Here is a 16623-nt window from a genome sequence, read left to right on the forward strand (position 1 = left end):
TGATCTTGAGCAAGATATTCAACTCTTCTGGGCCTTGGTCTTCTCATTTGTAAAACGGTGATAAGAATATTACTTCCCATTTGTGTTGCTGTGAATATTAAATGCGCTACCACATGTAAAATGTTGAGAATCGTTTCTAGCTCAGAGTAAGTGCTCAATAAACACCATTATGCCTTTTATATGGTCTGGAGCTCAGAAGTGGAAGACAGGGTTTTGTGAAGTCATGGCTTTGTGGATGTAGCTAGATTGTGGAGTAATGGCAGGAGGGTCGGGGGCATGGCACAAGGTAGGTGGTCAAGAGACACTGGACACAACCCAAATGTCCATCCACAGGGGAACAGATACATACACTGCTGCGCAATTGCACATAATAGAATCCTCTACAATAGCAAAAATTAAGGCACAACAGACACCTGCAACAACACAGAAAAATTCTGGAGGCATAAAAAGTAATACAGTAGCTGGGTGTGGTGGTTCACACCTGTAATCCCAGCACTTTGGGAGGCCAAGGTGGGTGGATCACGAGGTCAAGAGATCAAGACCATCCTGGCCAACATGGTGAAACCCTGTCTCTACTAAAAATACAAAAATTAGCCGGGTGTTATGGCACACACCTGTAGTCCCAGCTACTCGGGAGGTTGAGGTGCGAGAACTGCTTAAACCTGGGAGGCGGAGGTTGCAGTGAGCCAAGATCACATCACTGCATTCCAGCCTGGCGACAGAGCGAGACTCGGTCTCAAAAAAAAAAAAAAAAAAAAAGCCTGGTGTAGTTGGGCACCTGTAATCCCAGCTGCTCAAAAGGCTGAGGCAGGAGAGAATCCCTTGAACCCGGGAGGCGGAGGTTGCAGTGAATGGAGATTGTGCCACTGCACTCCAGCCTGGGTGACAGAGTGAGACTGCGTCTCAAAAAAAAAAAAAAAAAGTAATACGGTAGACTATATACAGTGTGACACAAACTTGTAGCTGAAAAATAAGCAAAAACACATTCTTTGATATATATATATGTATGTAAGAAAACTACTTTAGAAAAAGAAATAATTCCTACAGGCAGATGGGGAAGAACACAGGAGTAGTACAAGCTATTAATAATTTTCTAGTTTTGGAGTTGGACATTTGTGAGTTTATTATATGATTGTGCTTGATAACATATAAATGTGATACATATTGTTTGTATGAGATATATATATATATATATATACCCACACACAGATAGATGATTGCTGACAAGGAGTTTCTAAAGATCATATATATATTTTTAGGTAAAATAGAATAACATTCTGCTTCTGGTCTTCATAATAAAAGAGAAATCAGGACTAAGAAATCAAGTGTTTATTATATAGAGTTTTAATTTTTATTCTTTTATTTATTGATTTATCTTCTTTAGGCATGTGCAGAGATGAACTCACTAATTGTTCAAAATAAACAATTTGAATTCAAAGCAAAGTATATTTTTGGAATATCAATTATCACTTATTGCAGATAAATGATAATATAAAACACCAACTTTGGAATTTATTTGTTTTACTTCTGTGACTCTCAGCCTTCTTTTTAAAATATAGTGTATGTTTTAGGTAAGTTCAGACAGCAGCCAGCACTACATTTGGTTTAAAATCCAGCTTTATAATGACTTCATCTTTCAACCAGCCAAAGGGTAGTTACCTTGTGTCTGCCATCGTGCATATGCTCTCAGCTCCTGACTGAGAAAACATGCCTGCAAGCACTTCCCTGCCTGAGATTATATTAAAAATCCATACCTGTGCTAGCAGCATGAGTTCAAGTTGATTATTGTTCTAGATCTGTGACTTCCCATTCATCCTCCTAAAGATATAAATGATTGCTTTTCAATAGACCACATACTTAGGAATGATTATGAAGGCAAGGTTTAGTAACAATAATATACATAGTACTCTAATGGGATTGAATTGGAACACCCACATTAAACTCTCTTAAAATATATGGAGCAGAACACATGAGAGAAAGCAAAAGAACAAGTGCACACAGCAGAGCTGCGAGTTGCATACTCTGTGCATGCTAATACCATCGCAACAACATCACTAAGGCTTCTGGGTAACGTTTGCCACATCATATTGTGACGTGCATTTGTTTTTATATTTTACCCTAAAAGGCAAAATAACTCTCCATGTGATGAAAGAAGGAGCACACACAAAAAAAACCCTCTCAGAAATATTAAAATGGTTGCAGGTAATTCAAATGGTATACTGTTTTAAAAGGTACTTGTCTAACACTTTAAGTTGGAAAAGCATCTTGGAAGTCATTAGATTCATATTTACATTACTTGAATTGTGACCCTAGCTTGACATTTCCATGGTGGGAGACATATTTTATTTAGGAGGCAGCAGTCTATTTAGTTTTTGAGAGCTTAATCGATAGATGGTTCAGATTTTCTACTGAACCAAAATCTAAATGCCTACCCATTGGTTTTCGTAGCCAACGTCAATATCCAACTGCTCTTTCATACAACATGGCTTCAAAGGCTATGTAACTAACATCATGCCACTGCACCTATGTCTTTTTAAAGCCAAGTACCTCTAGTGCCCCTCATTATAGCTCATATTTCAAGGTATCTTTCAGCAACAATGAATTGCATTAATCAAACTCACTTTTTTTGCGTGTGCTTCACTTTATAGCTCTTCACAAATAACACATTTTTCACAAATTGAAGGTTTGTGGCAATCTTGCATCAAGCAAGTCTATTCATTCTATTTTTCCAACAACGTGCTCACCTTGTGTCTCTATTTGACATTTTAGTAATTATCACAACATTTCACATTTTAAAATTATTATTATTATTTTAAATATTTTAACTTTTAGGTTCATGGGAACGTGTGGAGGTTTGTTCTTTAGGTAAATTCGTGACTCAGGGGTTTGATGTACAGATTATTTTGTCACCTGAGTAGTAAGCATAGTACCCAACAATTTTTTTTTCCCTGAACCTCACCCATCTCTCATCCTCCTCCCTCAAGCACACCCTAGTGTCTATTGTGCTGCTCTTTCAGTCAATGTGTTCTCATTATTTAGCTCCCAGTGATAAGTGAAAATAGGGAGTATTGGGTTTTCTGATCCTGTGTTACTTTGCTAAGGATAATGGCCTCCAAGCTCCATCCATGTTGCCGCAAAGGACAGATCTCATTCTTTTTTATGGCTGCATAGTAATTCATGGTGTATATGTACCGTACTTTCTTTTTCCAGTCTACCACTGATGGGAATTTAAGTTGATTCCTGGGTATCTATTACCTAAATTACATATAAAAGCAGAAAAGAAAAATGACAAGTAGAACATGAAAGTTAAACAGTATCTTTTCAGGTTCAATGACATAAATATTCTTATTATCTAAAGGTATAAAGTCTAATGTTTTATTTCCTATAGTGCTTTTATAGCAAAACACTTTTCAGAATTAGATAAACCAGATTGAGGCCCCAGTCTTACTACCTATTAGCTAGGTAAACTTGAGCTTTGGGATTTTCAGATTCAGATCTTGCAGGCAAATAAGATTTATTTGATATTACTTGAGGATGACAATGTCTATCTTGCAGATTATTATGGTAATGAGTTTATTTATGTGGATTGTTTTAGGATATTTTAAAACTATGTACAGACCTAAAAAAATCCTCATAATCTTTGCAGAACTGGGAAGGCATACAGGCATAATACAACTGTAAGAGTTACTGTTTCTCATGCTTTTGTTTTCTAACTGCTCTGGCCACTGTTTTAGAAGGAAGGGTGAATATATGTAAATATTCCTGAAAAAATAAAGTTTTAGAATATTAAATTATTACATATTTCATTCAGAATTTTTTGAAAGGTAAAACCAATGATTGAACGTAGTTCATGGGATGATCTGGTCCATATTCATCTACCATGATTTAACAAATTTTTTTTCTCATCTATTGATGAGGAAAAAATTAAGGGGAAATGTAGAAATGTAAGGTAAATGATCTGCAAAGAAATACACACAGGAGGTATGTGGGAATGTAACAGTGTAGGTCCGCAGGCAAACTAGGTGAAGGAGGAAGGTGAGGAAGAAAGGAATTTAAGACTTACTCTTTCTGTTTTCTTCTCAATTTTAAAGCCTGATGGAATATAATTTTCTCTACAGTAAATGTTGAATGAAAATCAGTTTTGTATGTGTTAATAATGACTTCACCAAGAGCATTTGAAGCTCTGTCTATCATATTTTGATGCTCAAAATAAAACATTGTTTTTATAGCTTAATAGTCTCATACAGTCAATTATTGCCTCCCCTCCAGACTGACACTTTGAACATTATTATTAACACTGCTGTCCTTAAACCATCATCGGCCTGCAGTGCAGACAATTTATTGATAGCTAATAAAACAGTGTTCAGATGCTGCCTGAGTGCAGGATTCAGAATTGTCATACCAATGCATAACCACATTTGATCTTTTGGAACAAGTTCCATTACTTAAAAATTATGGTTTCATTTTCTTATTTTTATATCTAGATTTTAACATTATATGCATGCCTATATAAGCATTAAATATGTTATTCAGTTATGTGTGAGTGTAACTGAAATTTCTTGTAAAGTGTATGTACAGTTTAATATAAGACAGATTATTGATTAGGAAATAGTTAACAATTAATAATAGACATTGGCCAACCTCAATTACTAAACCAGAAAATAAGTTTATTTATTTATTGTATTATTTTTTTATTATACTTTAAGTTTTAGAGTACATGTGCACAATGTGCAGTTTATTTAAATGTATTGACTGTTTTTTAGTCACTACACAAATCATCTAAAAGAAAATACCTCAGATGAAACCTGCAGATCCACTAACTAGTTATCAGTTTATCAAGACTGATCGTGTCCACTCCCTTCAGAAATCACATGGATTTGTGCATTATGCAGATCTTTTTTGGTCTTCCCCATCTTTTCCCATCCTGAACTAGAAGTAGAAGCCTATTGCATTTTTATCTGGTACTTTCTTTTGCATTTAGTAGAAATACATACACATACTACCCGAGGCTACTCCGCAGTACATTAAAATTTCCTTTTGCTTTCCAGTAATTTCAAATATCTCAACTAAATATCTCAGTTGAAAAATCAAAGTTTTAATTCTTATCCATCTTTCAACATAAAAACTTTTAATATTGATTATAATGTGTTGCCTGCACTTTTGTTTTTTTTTTGTTTTGTTTTGAGACGGAGTTTCACTGTGTTGCCCAGGCTGGAATGCAGTGGCTAGATCTCAGCTCATTGAAATGTCCCGAGTTTAAGCAATTCTCCTGCCTTAGCCTCCTCAGTAGCTGGGATTACAGGCAAGCACCACCATGCCCTGCTAATTTTTGTATTTTTAGTAGAGATGGGGTTTCACCATGTTGGCCAGGCTGGTCTCAAACTCCTGACCTCAGGTGATCCTCCCGTCTCGGGCTTCCAAAGTGCTGGGGTTACAGGCGTGAGCCACCCTGTCTGGCCCAGCACTCTTAATAGATATATAAATCTTACTCTATTAATTGAACTAAGAACATCTTTATAATTTTCCAAATATCATTTATAATTATTAAATATTAAAACACATTTATTCTGCTTAGCAAACTTTGCATCTCCTCAGAATGCCTAAATATTTTGCCATATGAAGGTTCCAGTGGAAGTTTCAGACAATACATTTTGATGGCAAATGGTGAATTTTCCTATTGAGAAATATGTTGATTACAAGAAATAAGAGAGACAGTAGATTTTCAAAACCTTTTCAAACTATTTCAGATGAATATTCAGAATTATTTTACTTATAGATTGCACTCTTCTAAGGCACTTACATATTCTGACAACTATGTGTTTTTGAAGCAAATTTTGACTGAATTAATAAATGACAGCACAGATCAAAATTTAAAAACTTACAAAATTCTCAATAGATTTCACAATTGTGCAAAGTCCCATGCTTTCTTTTAATATTGTATACTTACTATACTTTTAAGGGGTACTTTTTAACAGTTGATTTATTATCAAATAAACTTTCTATAATTTGACAGAACAACATAAATTCTTGTTTTTCTCCTTTCTACCTAGAACATACATATGATAGTTGAGAAAGACACATATTCTGATCATGAAGAAATAAACACAAGTTAAATATGACTAAGCAGAAAGATGGAAGGACCAGGAACGGTGATGCTAACTTGGAACCACGATGCAGGCTCTAAACTCCTCTACAATCATCCTCCCTTGTGAGAAAAATACGTAAGTCACTTTTAAAATAAATAGAAACCTGAACACACTTCTTAGCTGGTTTAAGTATTTTAAAAACATTGATGAATTAAACACAGAAATATGGGGAAATCTCATTACTTACCTTAAATTTTGAAATTTTCTTTACAGATCATGAGTTACTTAATGCTCTTTCACTCCTGAGTTTACATTGTAAATTAAAGTTATGTCAGCTTTAAAAAATAACCAATTAAAAATGATCTAAATTTATACTTTAATTTTAACGAATAGTATTATCTCTTATTATTTACCTCTGATAAAGTCCAAATGTTTGTAGGCCTATAGCTCTGGTTATATACAATGAAATATCTTTCTCATGAGTGTAGAATATCTAGATTATATTTAATGCATTTACTTTTTGAGGAAAAGGAAACCCTTAATAAAATAGCTTCAAATATTTGGTTTTAAAAAATGAGAAAACAAATACATTACAGGACTTTTGGATTTATCACCAACATGTGAAGGGCTCAGAAGTTGTCATTCCTGGCCTTACAATAATAATAATAATAAAAGCTATACAAATTGAAAATCAATGACATTTCCACAGTGGGAGACATATTTTATTTAGGAGACAGCAGTCTATTTAGTTTTTGAGAGCTTAATCGATAGATAGTTCAGGTTTTCTAGTGAACCAAAATCTAAATGCCTACCCATTGGTTTTGGTAGCCAACATCAATATCCAACTGCTCTTTCACACAACATGACTTCAAAGGCTATGTAACTAACATCATGTCACTGCACCTATGTCTTTTTAAAGCCAAGTACCTCTAGTGCCCCTCATTATAGCTCATATTTCAAGGTTTTCTGTTCCTGCATTAGTTTGCTGAGGATAATGGCTTTCAGCTCCATCCATGTCCCTGCAAAGGACTTGATCTCATTTCCTTTTATGGCTGCATAGTATTCCATGTTGTATATGTACCACATTTTATTTACCCAGTCTATCATTGATGGGCATTTGGGTTGATTTCATGTATTAGCTATTGTGAATAGTGCTGCAATGAACACACACATGCATGTATCTTTATAATAAAATGATTTATATTCCTTTGGGTACATACCTAGTAATGGGATTGCTGGGTCAAATGGTATTTCTGGTTCTAGGACTTCGAGGAATTGCCACAGTCTTCCACAATAGTTGAACTAATTTACATTCCTACCAACAGTGTAAAAGCATTCCTATTTCTCTGCAGCCTCAACAGTATCAGTTGTTTCTTGACTTTTTAATAATCACCATTCTGACTAGTGTGAGATGGTATCTCATTGTGGTTTTGATTTGCATTTCTCTAATGATTAGTGATGTTGAACTTTTTTTTTGCATGTTTGTTGGCCACATAAATGTCTTCTTTTGAGAAGTGCCTGTTCATGTCCTTTGCCCACTGTTTAATAGGATTGTCTGTTTTTTTCTTGTAAATTTGTTTAAGTTCCCTGTAAATTCTGGATATTAGACCTTTGTCGGATGGATAAATAGCAAATTTTTCTCCCATTCTGTAGGTTGTCTGTTCACTGTGATGATAGTTTCTTTTGCTGAGCAGAAGCTCTTTAGTTTAATTAGACCCCATTTGTTAATTTCTGCTTTTGTTGCTATTGTTTTTGGCATTTTTGTCATGAAATCTTTGCCTATGCCTATGTCCTGAATGGTATTGCCTAGATTTTCTTCTAGGGTTTTTATAGTTTTGGATTTTACACTTAAGTCTTTAACCTATCTTGAGCTAATTTTTGTATAACGTGTAAGGAAGGGGGTCCAGTTTCAATTTTCTGCATATGGCTAAAGTTCTTCCATAGTTCTTCCAGCACCATTAATTAAATAGAAAATCCTTTCCCCATTACTTGTGTTTGTCAGGTTTGTTGAAGATCAGATGGTTGTAGCTGTGTGGTCTTATTTCTGAGTTCTCAATTCTGTTCTATTGGTCTATGAGTCTGTTTTTGCACCACCACTATGCTGTTTTGTTTACATGCTGGTTTGGTAGCCTTGTAGTGTAGTTTGAAGTAAGGTAGCATGATCCCCCCAGCTTTGCTATTTTTGCTTAATATTATCTTGGCTCTACAGACTCTTTTTTGTCCATATGAATTTTAAAACAGATTATTCTAATTCTGTGAAAAATGTCAATGTTAGTATAAGGGGAATAGCATTGAATCTATAAATTACTTTGGGTAGTATGGCCATTTTAATCATATTGGTTCTTTCTATCACTTCCCTTCTTAGCTGTATTCCTAGGTATTTTATTCTCTGTAACAATTGTGGAATTGGAGTTCTTTCATGATTTGGCTCTCTGCTTGTCTGTTGTTAGTGTGCAGGAATCCTTGTGATTTTCACACATTGATTTTTTATCCTGAGATTTTGCTGACAATGGGGTTGAGACAATGGGGTTTTCTAGATAAAGGATCATGTCATCTGCAGAGACAATTTGGCTTCCTCTCTTCCTATTTGAATACCATTTGTTTCTTTCTCTTGCTTAATTGTTCTGGCCAGAACTTCCAATAATATGTTGAATAGGAGTGGTAAGAAAGAGCATCCTTGTCATGTGCCTCTTTTCAATGAAAATGCTCACAGCTTTTTCCCATTCAGTATGATATGGGTTGTTAGTTTGTCATAAATGGCTCTTAATATTTTGAGGTATGGTCCTTCAATACCTAGTTTATTGAGAGTTTTTAAAATGAAGGGATGTTGAATTTTAACATGAAGTGTTGTTGAAAGGCCTTTTCTGCATCTATTGAGATAATTATGAGGTTTTTATCTTTAGTTCTGTTTATGTAATGGATTACATTTATTGATTTGCATATGTTGAAACAGCCTTGTATCCCGGGGATGAAGCCAACTTGATTGTGGTGGATAAGCTTTTGGATGTGCTGCTGGATTTGGCTTGCCAGTATTTTATTGAGGATTTTTGCATCGATGTTCATCAGGGATATTGGCCTGAAGTTGTCTTGTTTTGTTGTATCTCTCCCAGGCTTTGGTATCAGGATGATGCTGGCCTCATAACATGAATTAGGGAGGAGTCTCTCCTCTTCAATCATTTGGAATAGTTTCAGAAGAAATAGCACTGGCTCCTCTTTGTACATCTGGTAGAATTCCACCATAATTCCATCTGGTCCTGGTCTTTCATTGGTTGGTAGGCTATATATTACTGCCTTAATTTCAGAACTTGTTATTGGTCTATTCAGGGATTCAACTTCTTCCTGGTTCAATCTTGGGAGTTTATGTGTCCAGGAATTTATCCATTTCTTCTAGATTTTCTAATTTATTTGCATAGAGGTGTTTATAGTATTCTCTGATGGTTGTTTGTATTTCTGTAAACTCAGTGTTCATATCCCCTTTATCATTTTTTATTGTGTCTATTTGATCTTCTCTCTTTTCTTATTAGTGTAGCTAAAAGTCTATTTTGTTAATTTTTTTCAAAAAAACAGTTCCTGGATTTGTTGATTTTTTGAAGGGTTTTTCCTGTCTCAATCTCCTTTAGTTTTGCTCTGATCTTACTTATTTCTTGCCTTCTGCTAGCTTTGGGGTTTGTTTGTTCTTGGTTCTCTAGTTCTTTAAACTGTGATGTTAGGATGTTGACTTGAGATATTTCTGATGTGGATATTTAGTGCTATACATTTCCTCAATGCTGTTTTAGCTGTATCCCAGAGATTCTGGGACATTGTCTCTTTGTTCTCATTAGTTTCAAATAACTTCTTGACTTCTGCCTTAATTTCATTTTTTACCCAGTAGTCATTCAGAAGCAGGATGTTACATTTCTATGTAGTTGTGTGGTTTTGAGTGAGTTTCTTAATTTTGAGTTCTAATTTGATTGTACTGTGGTCTGAGAGACTATCAAGATTTTAGTTATTTTGCATTTGCAGAGGAGTGTTTTACTTCCAATTATGTGATCGATTTTAGAGTAAGTGCCATGTAGCTCCAAGATGAATGTATATTCTGTTGTTTTTGAATGGAGAGTTCTGTAGATACTTATCAGGTCCACTTGATCTACAGCTGTTTGAGTCCTGAATATCCTTGTTAACTTTCTGTCTTGATAATTTGTCTAATATTGACAGTGGGGTGTTAAAGTCTCCCACTATTATTATGTGAGAGTCTAAATGTCTTTGTAGTTCTCTAGGAACTTGTTTTATGAATCTGGGTCCTCTAGAATTGGGTGCATGTGTATTTAGGATAGTTACCTCTTCTTGATGAACTGAATACTTAACCATTATGTAATTCCCTTCTTTGTCTTTTTTTATCTTTGTTGATTTAAAGCCTGTTTTCTCAAACACTAGAATTGCAACCCCTCCTTTTCCTGCTTTCCGTTTGCTTGGTAAATTTTCCTCCATCTCTTTATTTTGAGCCTATGTGTGTCTTTGCATATGAGATGGTTCACCTGAATACAGCACACTGGTGGGTCTTGACTATCCAGTTTGCCAGTCTTTGTCTTTTAATTGGGACATTCAGTCCATTTACATTTAAGGTTAATATTCTTATGTGTGAATTTGGTCCTGTGATTATGATGCTATCTGGTTATTTTGCAGACTTGTTAATGTTGTTGCTTCATAATATTATTGGTCTGTGTACTTTACTGTGTTTTTGTAGTGGCCGGTAATGGTTTTTCCCTTCCATATTCAGTGCTTCCTTTAGGAGCTCTTGCAAGGCAGTCTTGGTTGTGATGAATTCCCTGAGTATTTGCTTGTCTGAGAAGGATTTTATTTCTTCTTTGCTCATGAAGCTTAGTTTGGCCAGATATGAAATTCTGAGCTGGAAATTCTTTTCTTTAAGACTGTTGACATGAAGTCCTTGCCCATGCCTATGTCCTGAATGGTAATGCCTAGGTTTTCTTCTAGGGTTTTTATGGTTTTAGGTCTAACGTTTAACTCTTTAATCCATCTTGAATTGATTTTTGTATAAGGTGTAAGGAAGGGATCCAGTTTCAGCTTTCTACATATGGCTAGCCAGTTTTCCCAGCACCATTTATTAAATAGGGAATCCTTTCCCCATTGCTTGTTTTTGTCAGGTTTGTCAAAGATCAGATAGTTGTAGATATGTGGCGTTATTTCTGAGGGCTCTGTTCTGTTCCATTGATCTATATATCTGTTTTGGTACCAGTACCATGCTGTTTTGGTTACTGTAGCCTTCTAGTATAGTTTGAAGTCAGGTAGCGTGATGCCTCCAGCTTTGTTCTTTTGGCTTAGGATTGACTTGGCGATGCGGGCTCTTTTTTGGTTCCATATGAACTTTAAAGTAGTTTTTTCCAATTCTGTGAAGAAAGTCATTGGTAGCTTGATGGGGATGGCATTGAATCTGTAAATTACCTTGGGCAGTATGGCCATTTTCACGAGATTGATTCTTCCTACCCATGAGCATGGAATGTTCTTCCATTTGTTTGTATCCTCTTTTATTTCTTTGAGCAGTAGTTTGTAGTTCTCCTTGAAGAGGTCCTTCACATCCCTTGTAAGTTGGATTCCTAGGTATTTTATTCTCTTTGAAGCAGTTGTGAATGGGAGTTCACTCATGATTTGTCTCTCTGTTTGTCTCTTTTTGGTGTATAAGAATGCTTGTGATTTTTGTACATTGATTTTGTATCCTGAGACTTTGCTGAAGTTGCTCATCAGCTTAAGGAGATTTTGGGCTGAGACAATGGGGTTTTCTAGATATACAATCATGTCGTCTGCAAACAGAGACAATTTGACTTCCTCTTTTCCTAATTGAATACCCTTTATTTCCTTCTCCTGCCTAATTGCCCTGGCCAGAACTTCCAAAACTATGTTGAATAGGAGTGGTGAGAGAGGGCATCCCTGTCTTGTGCCAGTTTTCAAAGGGAATGCTTCCAGTTTTTGCCCATTCAGTATGATATTGGCTGTGGGTTTGTCATAGATAGCTCTTATTATTTTGAAATACATCCCATCAATACCTAATTTATTGAAAGTTTTTAGCATGAAGGGTTGTTGAATTTTGTCAAAGGCTTTTTCTGCATCTATTGAGATAATCATGTGGTTTTTGTCTTTGGCTCTGTTTATATGCTGGATTACATTTATTGATTTGCATATATTGAACCAGCCTTGCATCCCAGGGATGAAGCCCACTTGATCATGGTGGATAAGCTTTTTGATGTGCTGCTGGATTCGTTTTGCCAGTATTTTATTGAGGATTTTTGCATCAATGTTCATCAAGGATATTGGTCTAAAATTATCTTTTTTTGTTGTGTCTCTGCCTGGCTTTGGTATCAGAATGATGCTGGCCTCATAAAATGAGTTAAAGCAATGGAAACAAAAGACAAAATTGACAAATGGGATCTAATTAAACTAAAGAGCTTCTGCACAGCAAAAGAAACTACCATCAGAGTGAACAGGCAACCTACAAAATGGGAGAAAATTTTCGCAACCTACTCATCTGACAAAGGGCTAATATCCAGAATCTACAATGAACTCAAACAAATTTACAAGAAAAAAACAAACAACCCCATCAAAAAGTGGGCGGAGGACATGAACAGACACTTCTCAAAAGAAGACATTTATGCAGCCAAAAAACACATGAAAAAATGCTCATCATCACTGGCCATCAGAGAAATGCAAATCAAAACCACAATGAGATACCATCTCACACCAGTTAGAATGGCAATCATTAAAAAGTCAGGAAACAACAGGTGCTGGAGAGGATGTGGAGAAATAGGAACACTTTTACACTGTTGGTGGGACTGTAAACTAGTTCAACCATTGTGGAAGTCAGTGTGGCGATTCCTCAGGGATCTAGAAGTGGAAATACCATTTGACCCAGCCATTCCATTACTGGGTATATACCCAAAGGACTATAAATCATGCTGCTATAAAGACACATGCACACGTATGTTTATTGCGGCATTATTCACAATAGCAAAGACTTGGAACCAACTCAAATGTCCAACAATGATAGACTGGATTCAGAAAATGTGGCACATATACATCATGGAATACTATGCAGCCATAAAAAATGATGAGTTCATGTCCTTTGTAGGGACATGGATGAAATTGGAAATCATCATTCTCAGTAAACTATCGCAAGAACAAACAACCAAACACTGCATATTCTCACTCATAGGTGGGAATTGAACAATGAGATCACATGGACACAGGAAGGGCAATATCACACTCTGGGGACTGTTGTGGGGTGGGGGGAGGGGGGAGGGATAGCATTGGGAGATATACCTAATGCTAGATGATGAGTTAGTGGGTGCAGCGCACCAGCATGGCACATGTATACATATGTAACTAACCTGAACAATGTGCACATGTACCCTAAAACTTAAAGTATAAAAAAAAAAGACTGTTGAATATTAGCCCCCAATTTCTTCTGGCTTATGGGGTTTCTGCTGAGGAGTCCACTGTTATTCTGATGGACTTCCTTTTCTAGGTGACGTGGCTCTTAACAATTTTCCTTCATTTTGACCTTGGAGATACTGACAATTATGTGTTTTGGGTTGATCTTCTCATGGATCTTACTGAAGTCCTCTGAATTTCCTGAATTTGAATGTTGGCCTGTCTTGCTGGGTTGGGGAAATTCTCCTGAATGATTTCCTGAAGTATGTTTTCCAACTTGGTTTCATTCTCCTCATTTCTTTCAGGTACCCCAATCAGTTGTAGGTTTGGTCTTTTTACATAATTCCATAGTTCTCTGATTATTTTTCATTCCTTTTCAGTTTTTTCTCTAATCTTATCTGCCTGTCTTATTCCAGCAAGATAGTCTTTGAGCTCTGAGATTCTTTCCTCTGCTTGGTCTATTCAGTTATTTATGCTTGTGGTTGCATTGTGAAGTTCTGGTGTTGTGTTTTTCAGGTCCATCAGGTCATTTATGTTCCTCTATAAACTGGTTATTCTGGTTTACAGTTCCTATAATGTTTTCATGGTTATTAGCGTCTTTGAATTGTTTTAGAATATACTTTAGCTCAGCAAAATTTGTTATTACCCACCTTCTGAAGAATACTTCTATCAGTTCATCCACCTCAAGCCTCCACCCAGTTCTGTGCCCTTGCTGGAGAGGTGTTGCAATCATTTGGAGGAGAAGAGGCATTCTGGCTTTTTGAGTTTTCAGCATTTTTGCATTGATTCTTTCTCATCTTCATGAGCTTATCTATCTTCGATCTTTGAGGCTGCTGATCTTTGGAAGGGGTTTTTGTGGGGCCATTTTTGTGGATGTTTTTGTTGTTGTTGTTTTCTGTTTGTTTGTTTTTCTTTCAACAGTCAGACCCCTCTTCCTTAGGGCTGCCGCAGTTTGCTGGGGGTCCACTCCAGACCCTATTCACTTGGTCCCTCCCCTACCTGGAGGTGTCACCAGTGGAAGCTGCAGAACAGCAAGGATGGCTGCCTGCTCCTTCTTTTTTGAGCTCCATCCCAGAGGGGCACTGATGTGATGCCAGCAGGAACACTCCTGTATAAGGTGCCTGGAGACCCCTGTTGGTGGTCTCAATCAGTTAGGGAGTATGTACAGGATCGGGGACCACTTAACAAAGCACTCTGGCTGCCCCTTGGCAGAGAGGGTGCACTGCACTGGAGGGAATCTCCCTTGTCCAGAATGTCCAGACCCTTCAGAGCCAGCAGGCAGGAAAGACTAAGTCTGCTGAACCGCAGAGACTGTGGCTGTCCCTCCCCACAGGAGTTCTGCCCAGGAAGATCAGAGTTCTGTCCATAAACCTCTGGCTGGAGTTGGTGAAATTCCCACAAGGGGGCCCCACCCAATGAGTAGGGATGGATCCAGGTTCCACCTAAAAAAGCAGTCTGGCCATGATCTGCCACAGCTGCTGTGCTCCCGGTCTAAACCTCCCTGTCTCCCCAGCACCACCAGGGGAAAACAGCCAACTGATGCCACAGTGATAGCAACCACCCCTTCCCCTGGGAACTCAGTCATCTTAGACAGTCTCCAGTCTGCTGTCACTGGCCACAGCCTGAGCGGTGATGAGAGTCTGCACAGCTCTGTGCTTGGCACCCAAGGCCCTGGTGGTGTGGACTCACAAGGGGATCTCTTGATCTGTGAGTTGCACAGATCCATGGAAAAAGCATGGTTCCTCAGGAAAGGGAGCACAATCACTCACTGCCTCCCTTGACTGGGGGTGGGAGTGCCCCTTGCCCCATGCAGCTCCCAAGTGAGGCATTGCTCCACCCTGCTTTTCCTTGCTCCCTGTGGGTCAGGCCAATCACCTTGTCACTCCCAGTGAGAGAATCTGGATACCTCAGATGAAGGTGCAGAATTCACTCGCCATTTTTGTTCTTCTAGATGGGAGTCACAGACCACAGCTGCTTCTAATTGGCCATCTTGGCACCTCCTCATTTAACCTTCTTTTCTCATCTAAAGGGGATAAAGGATGAAACTGTCCCAAAGAAAAGTTTATAAACCAATTAAGGGAGAAAATAAAATTCAACTAGGCTTGCAGAATAATCAGTGGCAATCATGAAATCCACTTCCCAATTTGGCCTACTTCCTTGTAGCTAGTTACTTCTTACTCCCCCAAGATAGTGTAGCCCTTGTCACAAGAATGTGTTCCTTTTCTTTTCTATAGATAAGATCTAAGGCACATGAGATGATATGCTTTCTGTTTGAGTTTCTCCTTTATGTTACGCATACTGATAAAATTGTTGATGCCAGTTGATCTGAAGGTCCCAGCAAGGAGCCGACTCACAGAAGAATGCAGTTTTCACATCATGATGATTTAATCTTCCTTGACCTGAGCAATTGACAACCCCAATTCTCCAGAACCTCACCCGCCACAATCCCCTTAAAAACCCTGGCCCAGAACCCCTCAAGCAGACAGATGTGAAGCTTGAGGATTCCTTCATCTCTTTGCCCAATGGCATTGTGATTATTAAACTCTTTTTCTGCTGCAAATTATGATGTCTCAGTGTATTGGTCTATTGCTGCTCAGTGGGCATATGAATCTGGCAGTCCTGTAATAGGGACAAAAGATAAACTACTGGCAAAACACTCGTAAAAGTCATAACCTAAGACATAGGCCCACTGAAAGGCGGATATTCAATCAGAGCACTGTAGAACATATTTCTCTGCTCATACCATAAAATTTAAACCAACATGACTCCAATATAAGGAGACAGACAAAAGAGCTATAAGAAACAGACACTGTTTGAAGATGAGTACTTAAGGAAACCTAAAGTTAAGGGAGGAGACAAAAACAAGGACACTAGAGGAATTTGAAACCTTCAGAAACTTGAGCTATAACAAATATTAAATGCAGTTCAACTCCAAGACAGATTAACATATATCCTCAATTAACTTTATCTCAGTATCAATTTATCTCAGCATCAATTTATCTCAATATCTATTATGGATACCACATGTCTGGCTCTCAACAATGGCAACAAAATTACAAAACATGGTAAAAGGCAAGAAAAAAATTAACAATCTGAAGAGACAGGATGATCATCAGAA

General features: G+C 37.3%; 1 pseudogene across 1 annotated transcript in view; it reads left to right on the forward strand.

The window, feature by feature from the left end:
- AQP7P3 (aquaporin 7 pseudogene 3) overlaps positions 1-16065 on the forward strand; it is a 34987-nt pseudogene extending 18922 nt beyond the window's left edge. Inside the window, exons 3-4 of the transcript NR_026558.1 lie at positions 6051-6221; positions 15826-16065. The product of NR_026558.1 is annotated as an aquaporin 7 pseudogene 3 (transcript). The remainder of the gene's footprint in view (positions 1-6050; positions 6222-15825) is intronic.
- Positions 16066-16623: the final 558 nt, after the last annotated feature.

The sequence above is a fragment of the Homo sapiens genome, chromosome 9 (genome assembly GCF_000001405.40).
Source record: "Homo sapiens chromosome 9, GRCh38.p14 Primary Assembly".
NCBI lineage: Eukaryota > Metazoa > Chordata > Mammalia > Primates > Hominidae > Homo > Homo sapiens.